This window comes from Homo sapiens, chromosome 1 (assembly GCF_000001405.40).
Source record: "Homo sapiens chromosome 1, GRCh38.p14 Primary Assembly".
Lineage (NCBI taxonomy): Eukaryota > Metazoa > Chordata > Mammalia > Primates > Hominidae > Homo > Homo sapiens.
Window position 1 is genome coordinate 68027271 of NC_000001.11, and position 24721 is coordinate 68051991.

The 24721-nt window shown below is 40.0% G+C and overlaps 1 protein-coding gene, 1 long non-coding RNA gene and 2 pseudogenes across 2 annotated transcripts in view; 2 read left to right on the plus strand and 2 right to left on the minus strand.

Annotated features, from left to right (window-relative positions):
* The window catches only part of GNG12-AS1 (GNG12, DIRAS3 and WLS antisense RNA 1), a 370700-nt gene that overhangs the window by 194983 nt on the left and 150996 nt on the right, over positions 1-24721 (plus strand). Inside the window, exon 2 of the long non-coding RNA NR_040077.1 lies at positions 7377-7493. This is a non-coding gene — a long non-coding RNA (GNG12, DIRAS3 and WLS antisense RNA 1). The remainder of the gene's footprint in view (positions 1-7376; positions 7494-24721) is intronic.
* LOC100133029 (sirtuin 5 pseudogene) lies at positions 16033-17003 on the plus strand (annotated as a pseudogene).
* On the minus strand, positions 18692-23357 carry DIRAS3 (DIRAS family GTPase 3). Its single transcript, NM_004675.5, has 2 exons — positions 23278-23357; positions 18692-20092 (listed from the first exon to the last, which is right to left on the minus strand). The coding sequence occupies exon 2, from the start codon at positions 20025-20027 to the stop codon at positions 19338-19340; it is 690 nt and encodes a 229-aa protein (NP_004666.1). The 5' UTR covers positions 20028-20092; positions 23278-23357; the 3' UTR covers positions 18692-19337.
* On the minus strand, positions 22090-22475 carry ARL5AP3 (ARL5A pseudogene 3; annotated as a pseudogene).

A 24721-nucleotide genomic window follows, 5' to 3' on the forward strand; every position in this document is an offset into this window, starting at 1 on the left:
AGAATAATAGAAACTGAAAGCAAGTTTAAGGAAGGAAATAATAATGAGCAGAAATCGAAGAAATTGAAAATAAGAACATAATTAAACCAATAGGTAGTTCTTCAAAAAATTCAATAAAATATATAAACCTATAATAATGACAAAGATAAAAAGAAAAAATACACAAATCATCAATATTAAAAATAAAAAATGGCTTATCACTACAGACCCTATAGTGATTAAAAGGATAGTAAAGGAATAATATACACAGTTTATGCTTAAATTCAACAACTTAGAAGAAACATACAAATTTCTCAAAAGACACATACTGCCAAAAATCATCTAAGATGAAACATATGAATGGTCCTAAACCATTAAATACATTGAATTCATAATTTAAAATTTCCCTCAAAATAAATCTGCAGGCCTAAATGATTTCCCCAGAGAATACTACCAAATATTTAAAGAAGATTTAACACAATTTTACACAGTCTACTCCAAAAAATGGAAAAAGAGGAAACACTTCCTAAGTCATTTTACATAAGGCCAGTATTATCCTGATGCCACGACCAGACAAAAAGAGTACCAAAAAAACCTCAAAAAACTCTGACGCAGTATCTCCAGTGTATCTCATGAACTTAGACATAAATCTTCAACAAAATATTAGGAAATGGAATCCAGTAATATATGAAGAGAATTATACTCTGTTAACAAGTAGGATTTATTCCAGCTATACATGGTTGGTTCAACACTTAAAAATCAATAATGTAATTCACTGCATTAACAGGCTAAGGAAGGACAACATGATTATATCAATTGAAGCAGAAAAAGCACTTTATAAAGTCTGACATTCAGCAAATTAGTAATGAAGGAGAACTACCTCAACATGATAAAGGGCATCTACAAAAACACTGCAGCTAACATCACACATAATGGTTAAAGATTGAATGCTTTCCACCTAAGATCAGGGCTAAGACAAGAATGTCTACTGTCACCATTCCTAGTCATCATAATTCTGGAATTTTTACCTACCAAAATAAAGCCAAAAAATAAGTCACAATAATTAGGAAAGAAATTAAACTGCTACTATTTCTACATAATATGACTCTCTATGTAGAAAATTCCAAAAAACATCCTAACACTAATAACTAAGTATATTAGTCCATGCTCATGCTGCTATAAAGAACTTCCCAAGACTGGGTAACATAAAGGAAAGAGGTTTAATTGACTCACAGTTTTGCATGGCTGGGAAGGCCTCAGGAAACTTACAATCATAGTGGAAGGGGAAGCAAACACATCCTTTTTCATATGATGGCAGGAGAGGGAAGTGCCTAGCAAAGGGGGAAAAGCCCCTTATAAAATAATCAGATCTCGTGAGACCTCACTCACTATTACAAGAACAGCATGGGGATAACTGCCCCCATGATTCAATTACCTCTCACCAGGTCCCTCCCACAACATGTGGAGATTATGGGAACTACAATTCAAGATGAGATTGGGTGGGGACATAGCCAAACCACATCACTGAGTTTAGCAACCGCCGCAGGATGTAACATCAACACACAAGAATCAATTGTATTTCTATATACTAACAACAAAAATCTGGAAGCCAAAATTTAAAACACAGTACTATTTACAATTGCTCTAAAGAAAATGAAATAATTATAAACACAATAAAAGACATGCAGGATTTGTATACTGAGTTACAAAATGCTTATGAAAGAAATTATAGATGACCTAAATAAGTGACACGACATATTATGCTCATGGATCGGAACACTTAATGTAGTAAAGATGTCAGTTCTCTCAGAAATGAGCTATAGATTTAATGTAATTCCCATCAAAATCCCAGCAAGATTTTTTGGAAATATAGATGAACTGCTCTAAAATTTATATGGACAAACACAAAACCTAGAATAGTTCAAACAATCTTGAAAAAAGAAGAAATTTTGTGTTAGTTTCCTGTGACTGATATAATAAGTTAACCCAAACTTGGTGACTTAAAACAATGCACATTTATTATCTTACAGTTCTGGAGGCCAGAAATCCAAATTCTGTTTCACTGGACTAAAGTCCAGGTGTGACAGCAATGGTTACTTCTGGAGGCCCCAGGAGATAATCTTTTTCATGCTTCTTCCAGCTTCTAGATGCTGCTGGCCTCATTGGCTCATGGGTGCATTACTCCAATTCCACTTTCATAGTCATACTGCCTTCTCCTCTTCTGTAGTAAAATCTTCCTTTGCCTCCCTTGTATACGGACATATATAATTCATTTACGACCCACACAGATAATAAAGAATAATTGTCCCATCTCTCAAGATCCTTAATCCCCTCTGCAAAGTCCCTTCTCCTATATAGTTGATGCTTGAACAATGTGAGGACTAGTGATGCTGGCACCTTGCGCAATAGAAAATCTGCATATAACATTTTTTAAATTATTTCAGTAGTTTTTGGGTGTTTGGTTACATAGATAAGTTCTTTAGTGATGATTTCTGAGATTTTGGTGCAGCCATCACTCAAGCAGTGTACATTGTACTTGTACACCTTTATCCCTCACCCCCCTTCCACACTTTCCTCTGCGTTCCCAAAGTCCACTGTATTATTCTTATGCCTTTGCATCCTCATAGCTTAGCTCCCACTTATGAGTGAGAACATACAAGGTTTGATTTTCCATTCCTGAATTACTTCACTTAGAATAATGGTCTTCAATTTCATCCAGATTGCTGCAAATGCCATTATTTCATTCCTTTTTATGGATGAGTAGTATTTCATGGTATATATGTACCACATTTTCTTTATCCACTTGTTGACTGATGGGCATTTGGGCTGGTTCCATATTTTTGCAATTGTGAATTGTGCTGCTACAAACATGCGTATGCAAGTATCTTTTTTGTGTAATGATTTATTTTCCTCTGAGTGGATACCCAGTAGTGGGATTGGTGGTTCAAATGGTAGATCTACTTTTAGTCTTTAAGGAATCTTCACACTGTTTTTCCCAGTGGTTGTACTAGTTTACATTCCCACCAGCAGCATTAAAGTGTTCCCTTTTCACCACATCTACGCCAACATCTATTATTTTATTATTTTTTATATTATAGTCATTCTTGCAGAGTAAGGAGGTATTGCATTGTGGTTTTAATTTGCATTTCCCTGATTATCAGTGATGTTGAGCATTTTTTCATAAGTTTGTTGGCCATTTGTATATCTTCTTTTGAAGATATGTCTATTCATATCCTTAGCCCACTTTTTGATAAGATTGTTTGTTTTTTTCTTGCTGGTTTGTTTGAGTTTCTTGTAGATTCTGCATATTAGTCCTTTGTCAGGAGCACAGTTTGTGAAGATTTTCCCCCACTCTGTGGGTTGTCTGTTTGCTCTGCTGATTATTTCCGTTTTTTGCAGAAGCTTTTTAGTTTAATTAAGTCTCATCTATTTATCTTTGTTTTGATGCATTTGCTTTTGGGTTCTTGGTCAGGAAATATATGCATATAGCCAATGTCTAGAAAGGTTTTTCCAATGTTATCTTCTATAATTAATTTTTATGGTTTCAGGTCTTAGATTTAAGTCTTTGATCTGTCTTGAGTTGATTTTTGTATAAGGTGAGAGATAAGGATCAAGTTTCATTCTTCTATGTGTGGTTTACCAAGGAGCTGAGCACTATTTGTTGAATAAGATGTCCTTTCCCCATTTTATGTTTTTATTTGCTTTGTTGAAGATCAGTTGGCTGGAAGTATTTGGCTTGATTTCTTGGTTCTGTATACTGTTCCATTGGTCTATGTGCTTGTTTTTATACCAGTACCATGCTATTTTGGTGACTATGGCCTTATAGTATAGTTTGAAGTAAGGCAGTGTGATGCCTCCAGATTTGTTCTTTTTGCTTAGTCTTGCTTTGGGTATGTGGTATCTTTTTTGGTTCCAAATGATTTTTAGGATTGTTTTTTCTAGTTCTATGAAGAATGACGGTGGTATTTTGATGGGAATTGCCTTGAATCTGTAGATTGCTTTTGGCAGTATGGTCATTTTCACAATAGTTATTCTACCCATCCATGAGCATGGGATGTGATTCCATTTGTTTATGTCACCTATAATTTCTTTCAGCAGTGTTTTGTAGTTTTCCTTGTAGAGGCCTTTCAGGGATTCAGGGATGGAACATATAAAGTCAATAAATATGATACACCACACAAACAGAACTAAAAACAAAAATCACATGATTATTTCAATAGACACAGAAAAAGCACATTTGACAAAATCCAGCATCCCTTTATGACTAAAACCCTCAGCAAAATTGGCATAGAAGGAACATACCTTAAGGTAATAAAAGTCATCTATGACAAACCCACAGCCAACATTATACTAAATGTGGAAAAGTTGAAAGCATTCTCCCTGAGAACTGGAACAAGACAAGGATGACCACTCTCACTACTTCTATTCAACATAGTATTGGAAGTCCTAGCCAGAGCAATCAGACAAGAGAAAGAAATAAAAGGCATCCAAATCAGTAAAGAGGAAGTCAAACTGTTGCTGTTTGCTGATGATATGATCATATATCTAGAAAACACTAAAGATTCATCCAAAAACCTCCTAAAACTGATAATGAATTCAGCAAAATTTTAGGATACAAAATTAATGTACACAAATCAGTAGCACTGCAATACACCAATAGCAACCAAGCTGAGAATTAAATCAAGAACTCAACTTCTTTTATGATAGCTGCAAAAACAAATAAACAAATGAAAATACTTAGGAATACACCTGCATGTAACTTTTGACTCCCCCAAAACTTAACTACTAATAGCCTACTCTTGATGGAGGCCTTACTGATAACATGAATAGTTGATTAACACATATTTTGTACATTTTTATATATTTTATTCTTACAATAAACTAGAAAAAAGAAAATGTCATTAAGAAAATTATTTAAAAGAGAAAATATATTTACTATTAATTAAGTGGAAGTGGATCAACACAAAGGTTTTCATCCTAATTATCTTCATGCTAAGCAGGCTGAGGAGGAAGAAGAAAAGGAGCATTTGGACTTGCTGTCTCAGGGGAAGAAAAGGAGAAGTTGCACTTGCTGTCTCAGGGGTGTCAGAGGTGGAAAAACAAGAGGAGGTGGAAGGGGAGGCAAGGGGCAGGAGAGGCAGGCACAGTCAGTGTAACTTTGTAGAAATACAACATAATTTCTGCCTGACTTTTTTGCTTTTTTATTTCTCTGGTAACTTTGCAGAAATACAACATAATTTCTTCCTGACTTTTTTGCTTTTTCATTTCTCTAGAAATGCTTCTATAATACCAATCCTTCTTTCACCATTTGCTTTAGTTTTAATGCCCATTAGAAGGATCTACATCACCAAAAAAAGTATCAAAAGAGGTCTTGAATAATCAGAACTGTTGTGGAAGATTGTTTAATGTCAATTTGTTTTCTGGCACTGCTTCTTCTACATCTTCTTCCTCATAATCTGGCACCAGTTCAGAAGCACTCATCAAGTCATCATCTGTTAATCCCTCTAGTGTAGTGTCTATTAGATCTTGAATTTCACCAAGATCCGTATCTTGAAATTCTTCGTCCTCTACCTTTTTAACCGTATCCACAATCTGTTTCAGATTCCGTTCACTGGCTCTGTTGTAAATCCTGTGAAGTCATGCACAACATCTGGACACAGTTTTCTCCAACAGGAATTTATCACTTTGGATTTGATGACATTCATGGCTTTTTCTGTAACAATGATGGCATGTTTAATGGTGTAATCTTTCCAGAGTTTCATGATGTTCTCTCTATTGGGGTTTTCCTCCATAGAGTTGACAGTCCTTTCCATAGCGTACCATGTATAATCAGCCTTAAAGGTCCTCATGACCCATCTTTTGAAGAATGAGTTAGGGGTGTTGTGTTTGGGAGGCAAGGAGACCATTTCACAACTTTCAGTGTTGAACTCATGGGGTTCTGGTGGCCAAGGGCATTGTCCAGTATTAAAATAACTTTAAAAGGCAGTTTTTAACTGGTAAGGGACTTGTTGATTTCAAGGACAAAGCATCAATGGAACCAATACAGAAAAAGGGCCTTTGTTGTCCAGGCCTTCTTGCTGTACAACAATAAAAAAACTGGCAACTGGTGTTTATCTTTTACTTTCAAGGCTTGGAGGTTAGCAGCTTTATAGAGAAGAACAGTCATTATCATAAACGCAACTGCATTTCCACAAAGCAGTAGGGTTAGCTCATCCCTTCCTGCCAAAAATCCTGGTGTTCACTTCTTTTCCTTACTAATAAATATCCTCTGCAGCATTTTTTTCCTCCAGAATAGAACACTTCTGTCTACACTGAAAAGTTGTTCAGGCAAATTTCCTTTCTCTTCTTTTAATGGCATCTAGAAACTTGTCTGCTGCCTCTTGGTCAGCAGGAGTTTCTTCTCCTGTAACCTTAACATTTTTAGAGCCAAATCTCTTTCTAAAATTATCAAATTGTTCTTTGCTGGCATGAAATTCTCCAACTTTAGATCCTTCATCTTCTTTTTCCTTAAAGTTTTCATATAATGACTTTACTATTTCTCGAATCACATTAGAGTCTATAAGTATGCCTTTCTTATAGCAATCCTGCACCCACATAAAAATTGGATTTTCAATATGAGAAAGATGTTTTACAGAAAGTACAGGTTTTCACACTTGAAGCAATAGCTTCACAAGTGTACTTTTCTTTGTTTACAACAGATTTATTTATGCTGGATTTATTTATCTTGAAATGGCAGATTGAGGTCTCAGTTGCAGCCCTCAAGCTATGGTACATATCTAACAATTCAACTTTTTTTTTTGTAATGTCAAGACTTTTCCCTGCTTCTTAGGAGTTCTTCCAGCATCACTAGTGACACTTCATATAGTTCCCATGGTGTTATTTATGGTATTGCACCAAACATGATAAAAAATACATGAGAACCACAAGAGATCACTTTTTACTGTGATAGGCAATTTACTGGAAAGACACAAACTGCTCACATGGAGATGCTTAGCATCATCAGCACTTTAAGTGGATGGGTGCAACACTTGAACTCACAACAATAGCAACAGGAAGTGGCCACAAAATTATTAAAGTAATATGTACTATAGTTAATTTCATGCTGTTACGATTGAATACTGTTGTATTAGTCCATTTTCATGCCGCTGATAAAGACATACTGGAGACTGGGGGAAAAAAAGAAGTTTAATTGGACTTACTGTCCCACATGGCTGGGGAGGCCTCAGAATCATGGTGGGAGGCAAAAAGCACTTCTTACATGGTGGCGGTAAGAGAAAATGAGGAAGATGCAAAAGTGGAATCCCCTGATAAAACCATCAGATCTTGTGAGACTTATTCACTACCAAGAGAACAGTATGGGAGAAACCGCCACCATGATTCAAATTCTCTCTCACCAGGTACCTGCCACAACACATGGGAATTATGGGAGTACAATTTAAGATGAGATATGGATGAGAACACAGAGCCAAACCATATCAACTCTATCTTCATGTTTGTTTACATTTCTCTCAACTGTAAGTTGTCTGTTTGTATAGATTTTGATAAATTTTAACTTTTTATAATAAATTTGTGTATATTTTATTATAGCAAATAATCAAATAGACTAGCATTTATATGTTTTATGCATTTAGTACATGCCTGTTTCTTAATTTTTTTTGATATTTCTAGGCTGTGTGGTTCATCTTCAATTTTTTTCAAGTTTTCAGAAACCCCCCTAATTTTTTCAATATGTTTATCTTGAAAAATCCACCTATAAGTGGACCCAGACTGTTCAAACTAATGTTATGTAAGGGCCAACTGTATAAGGAACATTCACAGGTTTCAGGTATTAGGACCTGGATAGTTTTAGGGCCATTATTCAGCCTCCCAAAAAAGTGGCAGAAATAACTCTACCTAATATTAAGGCTTACTATATAAGCTAAATAATCAAGACAATGTCAAATTGGTGGAGAGATAGACACATAGATCAATGGTACAGAACAGAGAACTCAGAAATAGACACACACAATTATGTTCAATTAACTGTGCAAAAGCATGCACTAGGTGCAAAAGCAGTTCACTGTAGGGAAGATAGTTGATATGTGTATTAGTCTGTTTTCATACTGCTATAAAAAAAAGCAGCCGAAGACTGGGTAATTTACAAAAGAAAAAGGTTTAATTGACTCACAGTTCAGCATGGCTGGGGAGGCCTCAGAAAACTTACAATCATGGCAGAAGGTGAACGGGAAGCAAGGCACCTTCTTCATAAAGCAGTAGGAAGGAGAAGTGCCGAGTGAATGGGGAGGAGGCCCTTATAAAACCGTCAGATCTCATGAGAACTCACTCACTGTCATGGGAACAGCATGGGGGAAACCACCCCCATGATTCAATTACCTCTACCTGGGCTCCCCCTTGACACATGGAGATTATGAGGATTTACATTTCAAGATGAGATTCAAATCGCATCTTGAATTGTCATTCCCAGTGCTTGGGGAGGGACCTAGTAGGAGGTGATTGGATCATGGGGGCAGATTTCCCCCTTGCTGTTCTCATAACAGGGAGTGAGTTCTCACGAGATCTGATGGTTTAAAAGTGTGTGGCACTTCCCCCTTTATTCTCTCTCTGTCTCCTGTCACCATGTGAAGATGTGCCTGCTTTCCCTTTGCCTTCTGCCTTGATTGTAAGTTTCCCAAGGCCACACCAGCCATGCATCCTGTACAGTCTGCAGAACTGTGAGTTAATTAAACCTCTTTTCTTTATAAACTACCCAGTCTCAGGTAGTTCTTTATTGCTATGTGAGAATGGACTAATACAATAGTCTTTTAAATAAATGGTTTGGGAACAATTAAACATCCACAGGCAAAAAAAAACTTAAAAAAAAAAAACTCAAAAAAAAAAACTCAACCTAAACCTCACACCTTATATAAAATTAACTTAACATGGATCATCCACTTAAATATAAAGCATAAACTATAAATCTTAACAAGAAATAGGAGAAAATCTTCAAAATCTAAGTGAAAAGTTCTTAGACTTGACACCAAAAGCCTAATCCTTAAAGAAAAATTTGATAAGTTGGACTTCATCAAATTTAAAACTTCTGTGAAAGACCCTGTTAAAGAATGAAAACAGAAACAGAACCTACAAACTAGAAGACATTTGAACATCAGGTATCTGAAAAAGGAATAAAATATAGAGTGTTTAATGAATTCTAAAAACTCAGAAATAAAAAACAAGCAATCCAATTAGAAAATGGGCAAAACCCCTAAATAAGCATTTTATTAAAGAGGATATATACAGATGATAAATAAGCATGTGAAAAGATGTTCATCTTTATTAGCCATTAGGGAAACAAAAATTGAAACACAATAAGACATAACTACACAATTATCAAAATAGCTAAAATTTAAAAAAAATAATTACAACACCAAATGCTGGTCATCACAATGCAAAGAAATTAGATCACCTACACATTGCTTGTGGGAAAGTAAAATGATTTAGCTATTCTGGAAAACATTTGGCAGTTTGTTATAAAACTAAACATGCAACCACCATATGACCCAGCAACTGTTCTCTTGGGCACTTATTCCAGAGAAATGAATATTATTTTCTCACAAAAATCTGCATGTGGACACTTATAGCAGTATTATTTGTAGTAGCCAAAACTGAAAACAATCCAGATGTCCTTCAATGGATGAATGATTAAACAAACGACAGCACATCCACATCATTCAGCAATAATGAGGAATGAACTATTGATACACACAACTTGAGGGAATCTCAAGGGAATTATGCTGAGTAAAAAAAAAACCAATCCCACAAGCTTACATACGTCATGATTCCATTTATATAACCTTCTTGATATGACAAAATTATAGATATACTAGAACTGATTAATAGTTGCCAGTGTTTAGGGCTCAAAGTGCAGGGGGAGGGATAAGAGTGTGATTACAAAAGAGTAGCACAAGAAATCCTTCTGTATCTTAACTGTGGTGGTAATTACATAAATTGCGACATATGATAAATTGCATAGAACTAAATACATGCACATACACATACAAGCACAAGGATATATAAAACTGGTGATAATCTGAATAAGATTGATAGGTTGTATTCATGTCAGTTTCTGGGTTGTGATATTGTACTACAGTTATTCAAGATGTTACCATAAAAAATTTGGAAATAACTCTGGAGATAATGTTTTAATAAGAGGCATAAGCACACCTTAACTATAAAATGTTTGATCTTCAGAAAACATTCTGAAATGTAATAGAAATTTAACAAATGTGGAAAGGGGAGAACATGCTGTGAAGTTATTATCAACTCCTGTGCAAAAATGTTAGGGCTCTGGCCAAAATCTCAACTCAGAATTGCCAACTTTCATAAAGTCTGCAAGTAGAAACTTGTCACATCCATAAATGTAAATAACACTTCTTTCTTTCACCTAACCTGATTTAAAATTATTTACTTGCACTTTTCTTATACTTTACAAAGTATTTTCACATGCAAATTCTATTCCATTTTCCTAGTCACTTGATGTGGCAGACAGAGAAGAACTTTTTATCCTCCATTATAAAGATGAGGAAATTGAGTCTGAGAGAAATGATTTGTTCTGACTTGAAGCTAAAAAATTGTAAAGTTAGGAGTAAAATATGAAATGTGAATCTTTTGACTCCTGATTGATGATGCTACTTGAAGGCGAGGAATAAGTCTTATAATTCTTAGAGGGTTAGTCTGATGTAGGGGCAAAAACAACACTGGATTATTAGTCAAAAGACATTGTTTTAAGCTTCAGCATTGAGCCAGGTCCAAGCTAAAGTTCAATGTAAGTTAGAGGCATGTGGTGAGAGAGGTGCTACCAAGTTCCATTAAGGAAAGCAAGGAAGGCTTTCAACAGATTTGGCATTTGTTGAGTCCTGAAGAATGCCTTGAATTTTAATATATGACTTTATTAAGAGAAGGAAAAATCCAGGCAGAGTGTAGTAAAAATAGGGGATGGGGGCAGTGAGCAGCAGTATGGGGAAAAGAAAGTGTAATGAATCCAGTGCCCCTCCATTACCCACCTCCACCTTGACAGCAGCTGTATTCCCCTGTAAATTGCTCCTCTCTCTTTCTTCTCTCTTTCTGGGACTCTGGTAATATGAATGTTGGCGCTTGTGACACTGTTAATTTTCTTTGTTCTACTTTCTCTCTCTTGCTCAGATTGGGTAAATTATATTCATCTGTCCTCAAGTTCACTGATGGTATTTTCTCTGTCATCTCCACTCTACTATTAAGTCCATCTAGCAAGATTTTTATTTTGGTTATTGTACTTTTCAGTGTTATAGTTTCCATTTGATTCTTTTTATAACTTCTACTTCTTTGTTAAGATTTTCTCTTTTTTTATTTGTTAAAGAGAATTCATAATTGCTGCTTTAAAATTATCTTCAGATAATTCCAACACCTTGGAATTCATCTTGGTGTTGCCTGTTCATTTCTTTTCTCATTTAAGCTGTGATTTTTATTTACTTATTTATTTAGTTAGTTTTGGTTCTTAGTTTGATAAGTGATTTCCTGTGGTATTCTAGACATTTGGAAGACTCTAGATCCTATGTAATCTTTTTTACCAGGCATTATCTCCACTGATATGTAGTTTGAGGGCCGAGTGGGTGTGTATTTTCAATGGAAGTGGTGTGCTCACACTGCCTCTTTGCAGAAGGGTGGACTGAAAGTTGAACTTCCTTCTCAGTCCTATAGAACTCTTCTCAGAAAATGTGGGTGCAAACTCGTACTGCCTTATTGGGGTATTAGCTCAGCTCCTTAGTGAGCCATAGTGATGAGATGAGAGAGGGAGGGAAGTATTAACTAGCTCCAGCTTGCATAGCCTCATTCATTTTCACTGACGCCACTGACACAAACCTGTAAAGGGATTCAGAGCATGAACGACCTAATCAGCTCATTTCAGATATAAGGCTAAAAAATTGTAAAGTTAGGAATAAATTATGAAATGTGACTCTTCTGACTCCTGATTGATGATGCTACTTGAAGGTGAGGACTAAGTCTTACAACTCTTAGAGGGTTAGTCTGGTGTAGGGGCAAAAACAACACTGGATTATTAGTCAAAAGACATTGTTTTTTAAGGCTCAGCACTGAGCCAGGTCCAAGCTACCATACTACCACTTACCACCACACTACCCTACCAGCAAGGAAGGGATAGAAGGAATCTGAAATAGAGGATTAGCTCTGTTGTGGTGCAGAAAATGATTTCCCAAAATATGGCAGTTGAGTATGTTGAGTGCTTTTAAGAATTGCGAGGACTCAAAAATAAACCCTAGAATCAAGGTCTCTCTAACTTGTCTCATTTCTCCCTCCCTTCAAATGCAAGATGGGCCCCTGTCTCCTCCCTGCTCTATGACAAAGGGTATATAAGCTTCTGTGCCCCATTGGGGGGTTGGAGTAACCACTCTGATATGGTTTGGCTGTGTCCCCACCCAAATCTCATCTTGAATTATAGCTCCCATAATTCCCATGTGTTGTGGGAGGGACCTAGTGGGAGATAATTGAATCATGGGGTGGTTTTCCCCATACTGTTCTCATAGTAGTGAATAAGTCTCATGATGTCTGATGGTTTTATAAGGGGTTTCCCTTTTCACTTTGCTCTCATTCTCTCTTGCCTGCCACCAAGAAAGACGTGCCTTTTGCCTTCCACCATGATTGTGAGGACTCCCCGGCCACATGGAACTAGGAGTCTATAGAGCCTCTTTTTTCTTTATAAATTACCCAGTCTCAGGTATATCTTTATCATCAGCATGAAAACAAACTAATAAACACTCTGTGATTCTCTCCCATGCACATTAATAAATATGTATGCATTTCTGGCTATTAGTCTGCCATTTGTCAACTGATTTTCAGGAAACTTTTAGAGGATAAGGTGAAAGTTTTTCCTTGGCCCTGCAAAAGTTGTCAGGGCCAAAATGGTGTCACCAAAGTTAAGAGAACTCTGGCAAATAAGAGCTAGGGAAGGCCATGAAGAGAGGGTTCTCATGCTTGTATGCTTGATAATAACAACCGAAAAAAATCTCTACAAAAAACACAACCTGGCACAAAGGCCATCACAATCACACAAAAAAATACTTCTGCAGGACATATGACCAGCACTGTCTGTCCAACCTCAGGCTGGTGTCATACTTGTCATTGATCTTTGTAGCCAAGGATAATTATTTCAAGAACAATTGTGTAATGCTCCTCATTTCTTTTTTCTTTAGAAACCTTTGTCTTCCTTTAATTCAAATATACAAATAATTTACTATTGCATGTATATTCCCTTTGCAATACTCTATTCCCAAATAAACATAATTTTCTTTTAGAAAGCCTCTCACTGTCATTTAGGTTGACAGCCTCTATAGTTTCCTATTCTGTCCTGCTGGTAACAGTACCAGAAGAGGAAATCAAATCATTAGCATCTGCGTCTTCAGGGAAGAGTACAGTGTGGTGGAAGACAATCTTCCTCTTGGTGGAGGAAGAATAGAAGAGGTTTTGCCATTGGTGTTTAACTGGAGTAGCACAGATATTGCCAAAAAGACTTTCTCTTGTTAATTTGTCCTTTCTTGGCTAGGGGAAACATGCTTTTGTCAGCCCTGTGTGTGTGTGTGTGTGTGTGTGCGCACACGCATGCACATGCTCATGCACGTGTACACCTATTGGTGGTTCTAGCCTGGGGGTTTCTGCAGTGTCCTATTCAGGATACACGGACACAATAAGGATACCCAGAGAATTCACTATCATAGCATTCCTTACATGCTGAGGTTCCTAAATCGCCCACATTTTCCCACCTTTAAGTATTTTCCTTTGCTTATCTGTTATGCTATTTCCAGGGTTATTTTAGTTGTAAGACAGTATATGAGAGAAATGAGGCTTCTCTCTCTTGGCTGGGACCAGAAATCTCTGCTGAGTATGAACAAGACTTTCTAATCCTCATATTATTATTTTTTTGCTGTGATGGACTACATGCTTTTCTTTGAAACACATTTCTCTCTCAGTATTTACTACTGTACATTGTGAGTTTCCTCCTATCTTTTGGTCACTTCAAAGTGCCCTTCACTGTTTCCTCTTTGTCTGTAGCTCAGTGCTTCTGTTCTCCAAGATTCTGCCCTAAACACTTTCATCTTACCTCCTCTTCTCTTCCTCCACAGCCTCACCATCACCATATGTTGAAAACTGACAAATCATGGTCTCAAGTCTCTAATCCCAGTCCAGTTTGCACTGGAAACCTTCATCTGGTTGTCTCATAAACACCTTGCAACTTTGTTATCTAGAATGTAATTTATTGTCCACATGTGCATGTGCAAACAGATTTTCTCCCAAATTGACCCTTCTTTGTGCATTTCTGGACTTGGTCAATGACCCCATGACCCACCCAGGAATCCCACTCAGAAATATGGCAGTCACCTTGTTTCTCCCTTTATTCTAAACTCCAACACATCACCAAACTTTGGCCATTCTCCCTGCTAAATAATTCTCAAGTCCATCCCCTTGTCTCTGTTCCCTCTGGCAATGGCTAAAGCATTTGTTCAAAATCTCATTCCTGGATGATTCTAATAGTTTTCTAATTGGTCTACCTGTCTTTCTCCATTCCCACAGAGGCTCTAGAATGATCTTTTCAAAATGCAAGTATAATCAAGTCTGCCTAAATCCCTTCCTAATTCCTCATTAGCTCTAAAGAATGAATTCTAACTCTAATTTCTCCAGCTCGTCTTCCACAATTTCCTCCATCCATGTCTGGAATCATGCTGTGATCTCTCAGACCCTACATTTTGTCTGTGATTTTGTTCACTGTCCTGTCTGCCTGAAGTATGAAATATCTTCCTCTCCTTCCCTCACCTGCACCCACCCTACCTAAACCAACCCTACTAGACCTACAAGATTCCAGTCACGTAATCTCTTCAGGGAAAATATTTCCCACTCCTCATTAAAGGTGCTTATCTTCCCTGTTTCTAAAACACCCTATGCATGTTAAATTGTTGACTTGCTTCTTTGCCTCCCATCTGGGATTCGGGAGAAACTCTGAGGAAGGTTCATTTTCCATCCTGGCATAATATGAATAGAGAACAGAAAGGTGAGCTCCTCCGCCCTTTGACTAGTCATCTTGGAGAAGAAGTGTACTACAGGCGGGGAGCGGTGGCTCACGCCTGTAATCCCAGCACTTCGGGAGGCCGAGGTGGGCGGATCACGAGGTCAAGAGATTGAGACCATCCTGGCTAATACGGTGAAACCCCTTCTCTACTAAAAATACAAAAAATTAGCAGGGCGTGGTGGCGGCACCTGTAGTCCCAGCTACTCGGGATGCTGAGGCAGGAGAATGGTGTGAACCCGGGAGGCGGAGCTTGCAGTGAGCCGAGATCGCACCACTGCACTCCAGCATGGGCGACAAAGCCAGACTCCATCTCAAAAAAAAAAAAAAAAAAGAAATGTACTACAGTGGTCAAGAGCCCTGACCTGGAGCAGAACAGTTGGGTTCAAATCCTGGCTCTGCTACTTACCGGTTTTGTGACATTTATCAGTGTCCCCCCATCTGTAACACAGGCATAACAGTAACTTTTTTATTGGATAGTTGTGAGGATTAAAGTAAGAGCATGTCAACGTGTAGAAAGATTATATACGTTCTACAGTTCAGAAACATTGGCGTGTAGATTATAAATATTTGCTATGTTAAAATATTTTTATTTGGGGGCAGGACTTTGAGCTGCTCCACCCCACCCCCACCTCCTGCTGCCCACGCAAGAATCAGAACCACTGCTGGGCAGAGTGGCTCATGCCTGGAATCCCAGCACTTGGGAGGCTGAGGCAGGGAGATTGCGTGAGCCCAGGAGTTCCAGACCAGCCTGGGCAACATGCAGAAACCCCATCTCTACAAAAAATACAAAAAGTATCCAGGAATGGTGGCTGTAATCCCAGCTACTTGGGAGGCTGAGGTGGAAGGATTGCTTGAGCCTGGGAGGTGGAGGCTGCAGTGAGCCAAGACTGTGCCACTGCACTTCAGCCTGGGCAACAAGGTGAGACCCTGTCTCTGAATGAATGAATGAATGAATGAATGAATGAATCAGAACTGTAAGAAAACCTGCTAACCTCTCCACATTGTCCCGAGTCCATTAATTTCCCAGCTGTTTGTGGCCTGAAGCCTCCAGCCACCACAGAAACCAAGATTTTCCAGACAATGGTTCCTCTCAGTTCAAGTATGGCAGATTTTCGGAAGTTTTTTGCAAAAGCAAAGCACGTGGTCGTCATTTCAGGGGCTGATGTTATTGCGGTAAGTGGGGTTCCACCCTTCAGACAAGCCGGAGGTCATGGGGAAAATGTCAGTCCAGGCCCTGGCAGCTCCTCTGTCCTCTGCCCACGCTTTTCTGGGTGTGGGAGCTCCCCACTGCGGGTGAGAGGTCAGGCCGAGCAGGAGCCCAGTCCGCACCTCGCCACCATCGAATGTGATGCCCTGCTGGGCGGACAGGGCCGCCAGGGCATGATCATGACAGAATATCCATGGGCGGCACCCAAGGCTGGCGCCAAGAACCTTCTGGAAATCCACTGTAGCTTATTTAAACTCCATGTACCTCTTGTGGAGTCGTGTCTGAGAATTATGAGAGTCGGTTGGTCCACCTTTATCAGGAGAAGGTGCCCCAGGACCTGGAACTCAAGATGCCAGAATCCCAGTTGGGAAACTTGCCGGGTGTGAGAGGCAGAGAGCAGGGGCTTGCCGCAACCTCACGCCCTGTGGTTTGGCAAAAACTTGGATCCCGCCTTTCTGGAGGAGGTTGACAGACAGCTCACCCTTGTGACTATGTCTAGTGGCACATACTCCCCCTGTGGTGTACCCCGCAGCTGTGTTTGCCCACCAGATGTCTGCCAAGGGAGTGCCAGTGACCGAATTTAACATGGAGACCACCTCAGCCATGAGAAGATTCAGGTTTCATTTCCAGGGACCCTGTGGTAGGATGCTTCCTGAACCCCTTGCTGGTCATGAAAATGAAACTGTTTCTTAAGCATCCTGGGAAGAAAGAAATTATAGTATATCTAAGTATGTCTAGGTGGCGAGCTGATATTGGATGATCCAAAAATATTCTGATTCCCTGGCTGAAATCCAACCTGTTGATAAGTGTTTAGGGCTCAGAAGTAGCAAGAGCAAAGGTATTTAGAAGTCAGAGAACTGTAAAGTTAATGCATGTTATTTGATTTGAACTGAAACATAAGAGACCTTTGATGTGTTTAGTTGGTTATTGGGAGGGAAAAACGTTGTAATTAGATTGTCTTTAAAAATGTAATTATTCTGATTATATTTTTCCTATTTGGGCAAAGATAGAAGTAGAGGGGTAAAATCCTGTCATTTAGCACAAGTTTTAATGGAAAATAAAATCATTCTCAACTACCTACTTATATAAAGGTGTTACCCCAGGAACAAAAATTCTTTTTTAAACTATTACTTGTAACATTAAAAACATGTTCTTCCTTTTCTCAAGGTTAGTATTTGCCACTTGAATTTAATAATCCGTTTGCTCACCTATTAGGAGCAACAATAAATGCAATACATTTTGAAGGAGAATTACCCTGGAGAATAACCAAGGTAGAGTAGTTTCTTTTAGAAGTAGATTTACTACATTAGGTACTTCAGCAAAGAATTGGTTTTTAGGAACAGAATTCATAAGAAGCTATATGGTAGAACCATTTGGGTATTTTCCAAGTGGTTGAGAATAATTGCTATGAAAATGAATAGGGAAATTTTAAAATAATTATTTAAAAACGAGCCACTGAATAGATCTTCTAAGCTTGAAAATGTCTATAGTACCATGAAATCATGTTTACGGCCGGGCGCAGTGGCTCATGCCTGTAATCCCAGCACTTTGGGAGGCCGAGGCAGGCGGATCACGAGGTCAGGAGATCGAGACCATCCTGGCTAACACGGTGAAATCCCGTCTCTACTAAAAATAGAAAAAATTAGCCGGGAGTGGTGGCGGGCGCCTGTAGTCCCAGCTACTCGGAGGCTGAGGCAGGAGAATGGCGTGAACCCGGGAGGCGGAGCTTGTAGTGAGCCGAGACAGCGCCACTGCAGTCCAGCCTGGGCGAAAGAGACTCCGTCTCAAAAAAAAAAAAAAAAAATCATGTTTACGATTCCTTCTCAACAATGTGCTTCTCGTCTAGAAACACATACATTGTTCAATAGATATTTGTTCAATAATATTTTGTGGGGAAAAAAATCACTAGATTAAGAGCCTCCCCTGAACCTCTCCCAATTTAAAAAAAAAAAAAAAAACTCTCAAAAGCAAGGATATGTATACTTTATTCCCTCGCTCAAAAAATTATGTTCAAATATAATCTCTTTAAAAACTCCCTTATGGGGGAGTCTCTCAAATATCATTCCTCCCCTTGTCTTTCATTCTGCTCCCTATTGCCTATATCCAGTATTTCAGAATATAGGAAGAGGCAGAAGGCAGAGGCTTGCTTTTCACCCGCTTCCTCTGAGACAGCAACACTGTGACCATCTTCCTCAAAGATGCCTGGAGTTCTTCGGGATGTCAGTTCAGGAAAGACACAAAACAGCTCTGTATTGCAGAGACCTCCCTAAAACACCCCCCTCCCATATTGGATAATTTCAACATGGCAAGGACATCCATGTGTGAAGTTCTTATTGGAAACTTTTAACAGATATGGTTTAAATTTTAATACAATGGGCAATGTTTTGTTTTCTGGTGAGACAAATTCTTACAGCTGATTGCATGCAGGAAAAGCTTTATTAAGTCAATAAGCTGTTACACTTTTACAAACTGCTATGCAGAATACTCAAACATTTTTAAATGACATGAGAAACTACTAACATCTTTAGTGAGAGTCACTTTCACAATTTTCTCTGCTCCCACACCCCTAATGATCAACATATTCATTTTTTTATTTAGTATATGTCACGCAGCAATTTATCAAAAGCTTTTGTTGTGAAAACACTTTTCTTAAATACACAATTAAAAGATATGATTAAGCACTTACAGGATGTGAAATATTTAAAGGTAATACACAATAATCGGGTTACCAAAAGGACGCCTTCCAATTTTTCTTTCTATTCATTTTGATGTTTTGTTCTTTTCAAAACATTTTCTCTCATTACATTCATTACTAAAGGCCTTACTTTAAATACATCATGCTACATTTTGTTCTCCTCTTCAAATGCCAATGTTTTAACAATTTGAATTCTCTGGCCTGGGAAAAAGAAAAGTTATCCACTTACAAGGTATACGTATTGACAACATGGATGTTACAGTCCAAACAACAGCACAAAATCAACCATGTACATGTAACATAGTGAAATGAGTCCACGTTTTCTACACGCTACAGGATAGGAAGAGCTGGCTCTTAAGGCCCAGGGCTCACATGATTATGCACTTGTCAAGCAGCTTCTCAGTGGTGTTGGGCATCTGGGATTTCTTCTCGGGCTCCTGGAGGCCGGTGGTGGGCTTTTTCTTGTAATTCAGCAGCATGTGGAACAGCTCCTGCACATTCACATCGGTCTTGGCTGAAATCTCCATGAAGGCGCAATTCCACTCCATCGCACAGGTGGCACCATCATTCAGGGCCACCTCCCGGTGGGTGTCATCACTTTTATTGCCCACCAGCACGATGGGGAACTTATGCAGGTTGTTACCTTTGATCTTGCAGATCAGCTCATAGAAGGCCTTCAGCTCTTCCAGGGTTTCCTTCTTGGTGACTGAGTAGACCAGGACGAAGGCGTGGCCCCGGGCTATAACGTGGCGCTGCAGAGCGCGGTTGCCGTCGCCACTCTTGCTGTCGGTGATGTGCAGGGAAAGCACACCGTGGCTGCAGCCCAGCAACTGGCAGTAGGTATTTTCAATGGTCGGCAGGTACTCATGACGGAAGTTGCCGCTCGCCCACTTGTGCAGCAGCGTACTTTTCCCCACACCAGCGGTGCCGACTACCACGACGCGGTAATCTCTGATCTTCCTGTGGGGCTTGAAGGCGCGGAGGATAAGCAGGGCGGGCAGAAGCCGCAACCGCTTCAGCAGCTTCTGTTCCTTGGAGCCAAAGCTGGCGTTACCCATCGTTGGGATTCGGAGGGGAGATACGTGCACAAGTTCTCCCACACTTAGCTGGCAGCAGGAGACCCCTAGGAAGAAAGTGAGACGGTGAGAGATGGTAGTGGTAACCTACAATGTTGTCAGATCATGTCAGCCTGGCCAGCTGCTCCACTAGGACTCTGAAGAGAGTCCACCCTGTGACGTAAAGGGGTGCACACAGCGAGAAGAAAATTCCCAGGCACACAGTTCAGCCTGCTAGACCGAGGGACCAGCAGGTGATATATATTAAACAGACATGGTGGTTTGCTTTTTACCATCTAGAAAGTGCAGCAATACTACCTTTTGTTTTCTTTCCTTAAACTGTTTTATTAAATTCTCACTACACCCCTACAAGAAACACTCTCATTTCCTCGCTTGTAAAATTAAGATTTTAATTGAAGAGGACTGAACAGTCAAAGAGAAACAGGTGAGGGAATTTTCCCCACTCTATGGGGCTGAATGCCAAGGTGACATTTAGAGTGACACCGCCGCCCTGGTTAAAGCTACAGAGTCATCAGTACAGGAGAAAGGAGGGGGTTTTTGGTATCAGTGGTGTGGGATGTAGAGAGGGGAGGTACCTGCAGTCAGTGCAGCCCCAGAAGAGGCATGGGGAGCACCTTTGCTCTGAGCATGCTGTCACCATGTGCCACCAAGAGCTGAGGGAGGGGTCTTAGTTCATGAATCCTTAGTCACAATGACAGTGGAGTAAAAAAAAAAAAAAAAAAAAAAAAAAAAAAATATATATATATATATATATATATATATATATATGAACCTTTCTCTTCAGGATCTAATCTCTGATTAGAAAAGATTGTAAATATTGAATGAGTTTTTCTACAGAACAGTGGTTTTTCTTTTGCCATGGCTACTACCTTTAACAAAGTACTTTTAATTCAGCCTTATGGAAATAGAGAAAATTTCAGGATTTGAACAGTCAATGAACTTTTTGAGTTCAGGAATAAACATAGTAGATTAGGTTTGTAAGAAACTTTTCTCACAGGTATATCCTAAATACCAGACAGCTGCCCAGGGGGACTGCTTCAGAAGCATCCTAGGTCAGATGGAAAAAGTTCTAGGCACCATGCAGACAGACCACATAGCTGGCCTCTGGACAGAGGTAGGAATAGTACAAGGCAATGTCATTCCTGTGGCACTAGGTATAGAAATTTATACATGTTTCTAGGTGATGATGGTCCTTAAAATGCACTTCTCTTCAGGTACAGCTATGATTGTGTCATGTACAATACCAGAAAGAGAAGAGAGGCTTTTTGTGAATAGCACACTCCCTATATAAACTAGCCTGTCTTGCTGGCTGCGTAGTTGAACACATACTCTCCCAGTACTGGGGAAAAGGACCCTTTTTAGAATGTGCAAGTCCCATGAGAGAGTAATATGTCCATATTAGAGTTTTGGTGGTGGTTTTTTTTTTTTTGTTTTTTTTTTTTGAGTCAGGGTCTTGCTCTGTCCCTCAGGTTGGAGTGCAGTCATGCGATCATGACTCACTGCAGCCTCAACCTCCTGGGATCAATCAATCCTCTCACCTCAGCCTCCCGAGTAGCTGGGACTACAGGCATGTGACACCATGCCCAGCTAATTTTCTTATTTTTTGTAGGGACAGGGTTTTGCTATGTTGTCCAGGCTGGTCTTGAACTCCTGTGTTCAAGTGATCCTCCTGCATCAGCCTCCCAAAGTGTTGGGATTACAGGTGTGACACAACATACCCACCCCATATTAGAGTTTTCATTTGAAAAAAAAAAATGTTGTTGCTGGTTGTTATATCTTCAGACTTAACTTGCTTCTAATTCTAGTCTGGCTTCTTTAAGATAGTGTGATTCTAAGAGTGTTCTAAACTTAAGTGGCAAAATTTAAGTAGATGATTTTATATTCTTGATTAAAGGGGGCCAGGGAGGTTAATACAGTAAATATTTGAAATTGATATAAAATAAATACATACATATATCTAAACCATTCATTTTTGCAGCTTTCAGGTAAAATCTAGCACTTTATTCCAGTCTATGAGATGTGGTTAGTTGATATCATCTAATATTAAGTAATGACATCAGCTATCCAAATCCTGGGCACAATTCCTTTAGCAATGATGACCTTTAATAGAATTTAGCTTAAAAAACTAGGAGATTTCTGCTACAGTGATGCAATCTTTCACATCTTATTTATTAACAAAAATCAACAATCCAGCTTTCCTTAGGTCTTCACGCACTAAGAGTTCTCTAGTCACAGAAATCCTAGCCTTGTCTGCACTCTCCACAACTATTATAAACTCCATGTTAGTATCAAGAGTTCCAGTAAAGACCAAATATCTCTTGGCCACCAACATCCCACATTAGGAAATGTGCATTACTAATTATTCTGTTTTACATTACTTCCTGCTCTAGGGGATGTATGTACAAATTCATTCATAGAAAATTGGTAAAGCAGCCGGGCGCATTGGCTCATGCCTGTAATTCCAGCACTTTGGGAAGTCAAGGTGGGAGGATCGCTTAAGCACAGGAGTTCAAGACTAGCCTGGGTAACATAGGGAGACCGCCGTCTCTATCAAAAAGAAAATAAAAGAAAAAAAATTGGTAAAGGACACACGTGATAACTGAAGTTTCCAGATGTGAAGAGAATTCTCATTCTCAGGCAGTGGACCCCCCCCCCCACTCCCCTCCACACTCCTTCCACCTTCCCAGGCCACCTGGCCTCAGGCTGAGGGGGAGGTGAAAGTTTCCAGGAACCAGAGGGCGTCCAAACCCAGCGGCCGTGCGGAGCTCAAGGTCCCGCCGCTGCTGTTGCGGCACCAGCCTGGCTCATGGACATCACCACGCACCTGCAAGGTCAGGTTTCTCTCTGGTGGCTGTGGCGGCTGCTACCCTCCTCGCCCATTTCAATCTTACTTTCACACTACATGACTCCACTATTACTTCCTGAACACTAGCTACCTACGCAGCTGTAATAGTGGACACTGTGTCAACCTTTAAGCTCGCACACTTATCAAACCTCGTTCTTCTATATTAAAAAGTGCTAGCTTCCCAACGGGACTATCCAAAGTGCAGTTGCAGGACCTGCCAGGAGCCCGCAGGGCTGCGGGTGGTTCTTGCGTAATCGCGCCAAGAAAGACCTGGTTCCAGTTTCAGGGACAACTCGCCCATAAACTTCTACTGCGCAACAGCATCTGCTGCTTTGTCTGACACTTGTTGTTTTCAAGTACCCCTAAAAAAGCGAAAGAAAGACTTACCTTTCTCGGAGGCACGAACCAAGCAGCCTAGAAGACAAATGCGCTGCTCGGAGAGACTGCCGCGGCAACCAACTGGACACCCCAAGAGCTCACTCCTCCGCGGTTTTATATTCCGACTTGCGCACAGGAGCGGGGTGCGGGGGCGCAGGGAGTGTGGGTAACAGGCATAGATTCCGCTTGCGCAATACGTGGTAAGAAACCAGCTGTGAGGGGCTGGCCCAACGCAGAGCGGCGCGAGGTCCGCTTGGCATCTACAACAATCGAGGGGCTAGTCCAGAAGTTCAAGGCGGGGTTACAGGTTGGGGAGGAACTGTTAAACTGTGGACTTTTTCTCACCTGTTGGAATAAGCTTCAGGCAAAACTTTGCCAACAAAAACCGGTCCAACTGATTTTAGACGAAAGTCCAAAAGCAGTTTAATGCAGGACAGATAATCTTTTCCACAAATGATACTGAAAAGACAGGACATCTATAGATTCCCCCCCGCCAAAAATAACCCTTACATAAAAATTAAGTGGCTAGATATAACTGTGACGAGTAAAATTACAAAACGGTTTTAAAAAACAACAAACTATTGTCTAAGGCTAGGCAAAAGGTTCTTAAATTGACATTAGTGGCAAGACCGGTAAAAAGAAATGTTGATGAATTAGACTCCATAAATTTAAAACTTTTGCTTTGTGAAAGACCCTGTAACGATACTGAAAAGGTTTACCTAGGAGAAAATATTTACAAGCCATATATCTGGCATACAACCAGTATCTAGAATATGTAAATAACTCAAAAATCAATTATTTTTAAAAATCCAATTAGAAAATAGTCAGAAGACATAAACAGACACTTCACTGAAGATATGCAGATGGCAAATAACCATATGAAAACCTTTAATGTCATTAGCCATTAGAGAAATGGGAATACGAGGCTTTCGTTGTTCTTCGCCTCCCACTAGGGCGGGTTGAGGGTCTGGCTCCAGTAGCCCCGGGTGCCTCTCACTCCTTGGGCGCAATGCTACTATCCTGGCAGAACCCTCGCCGAACCCTCGCAGGACGCCCCATCGGGTCCGCCAGCGGCTAGGAAGCCCGATTGTGTCGTTCCTTTTTCCCTCTGCGCCTCCCACCGCCAGTCCCTTTTCCAAATGCGCCTGCGTCTGCCCTCCACATCTCCGAGCTCCGTCTGGCTTCTTTCTCCCTTGCCTGTGAGCGCCTGGCGGCGGATGCATTGAAAGCTGCGCACCACCGCCTACCGAGCGTTTTGGGGAGTGTGTGGAAGTTGTTGGCAGCAGGTTTTGACAGCAGTACCCTATGGGCCTAGTCGTTGACGGTAGCACCTGGTTTTGTGTGCCCCAGCCAGCTGAGGCCAGGGTGTGTGGTGTGGGCCACTGGTACTGCTCTTCTGCCACTATAATCCCTCCCCCTACCAGGTACCTGGTGCGTAGAAGTCTAAAGACCT

Coding starts and splice junctions, on each gene's coding strand:
- DIRAS3 (NM_004675.5), bottom strand. CDS start 20,027: ATGGGTAACGCCAGCTTTGGCTCCAAGGAACAGAAGCTGCTGAAGCGG.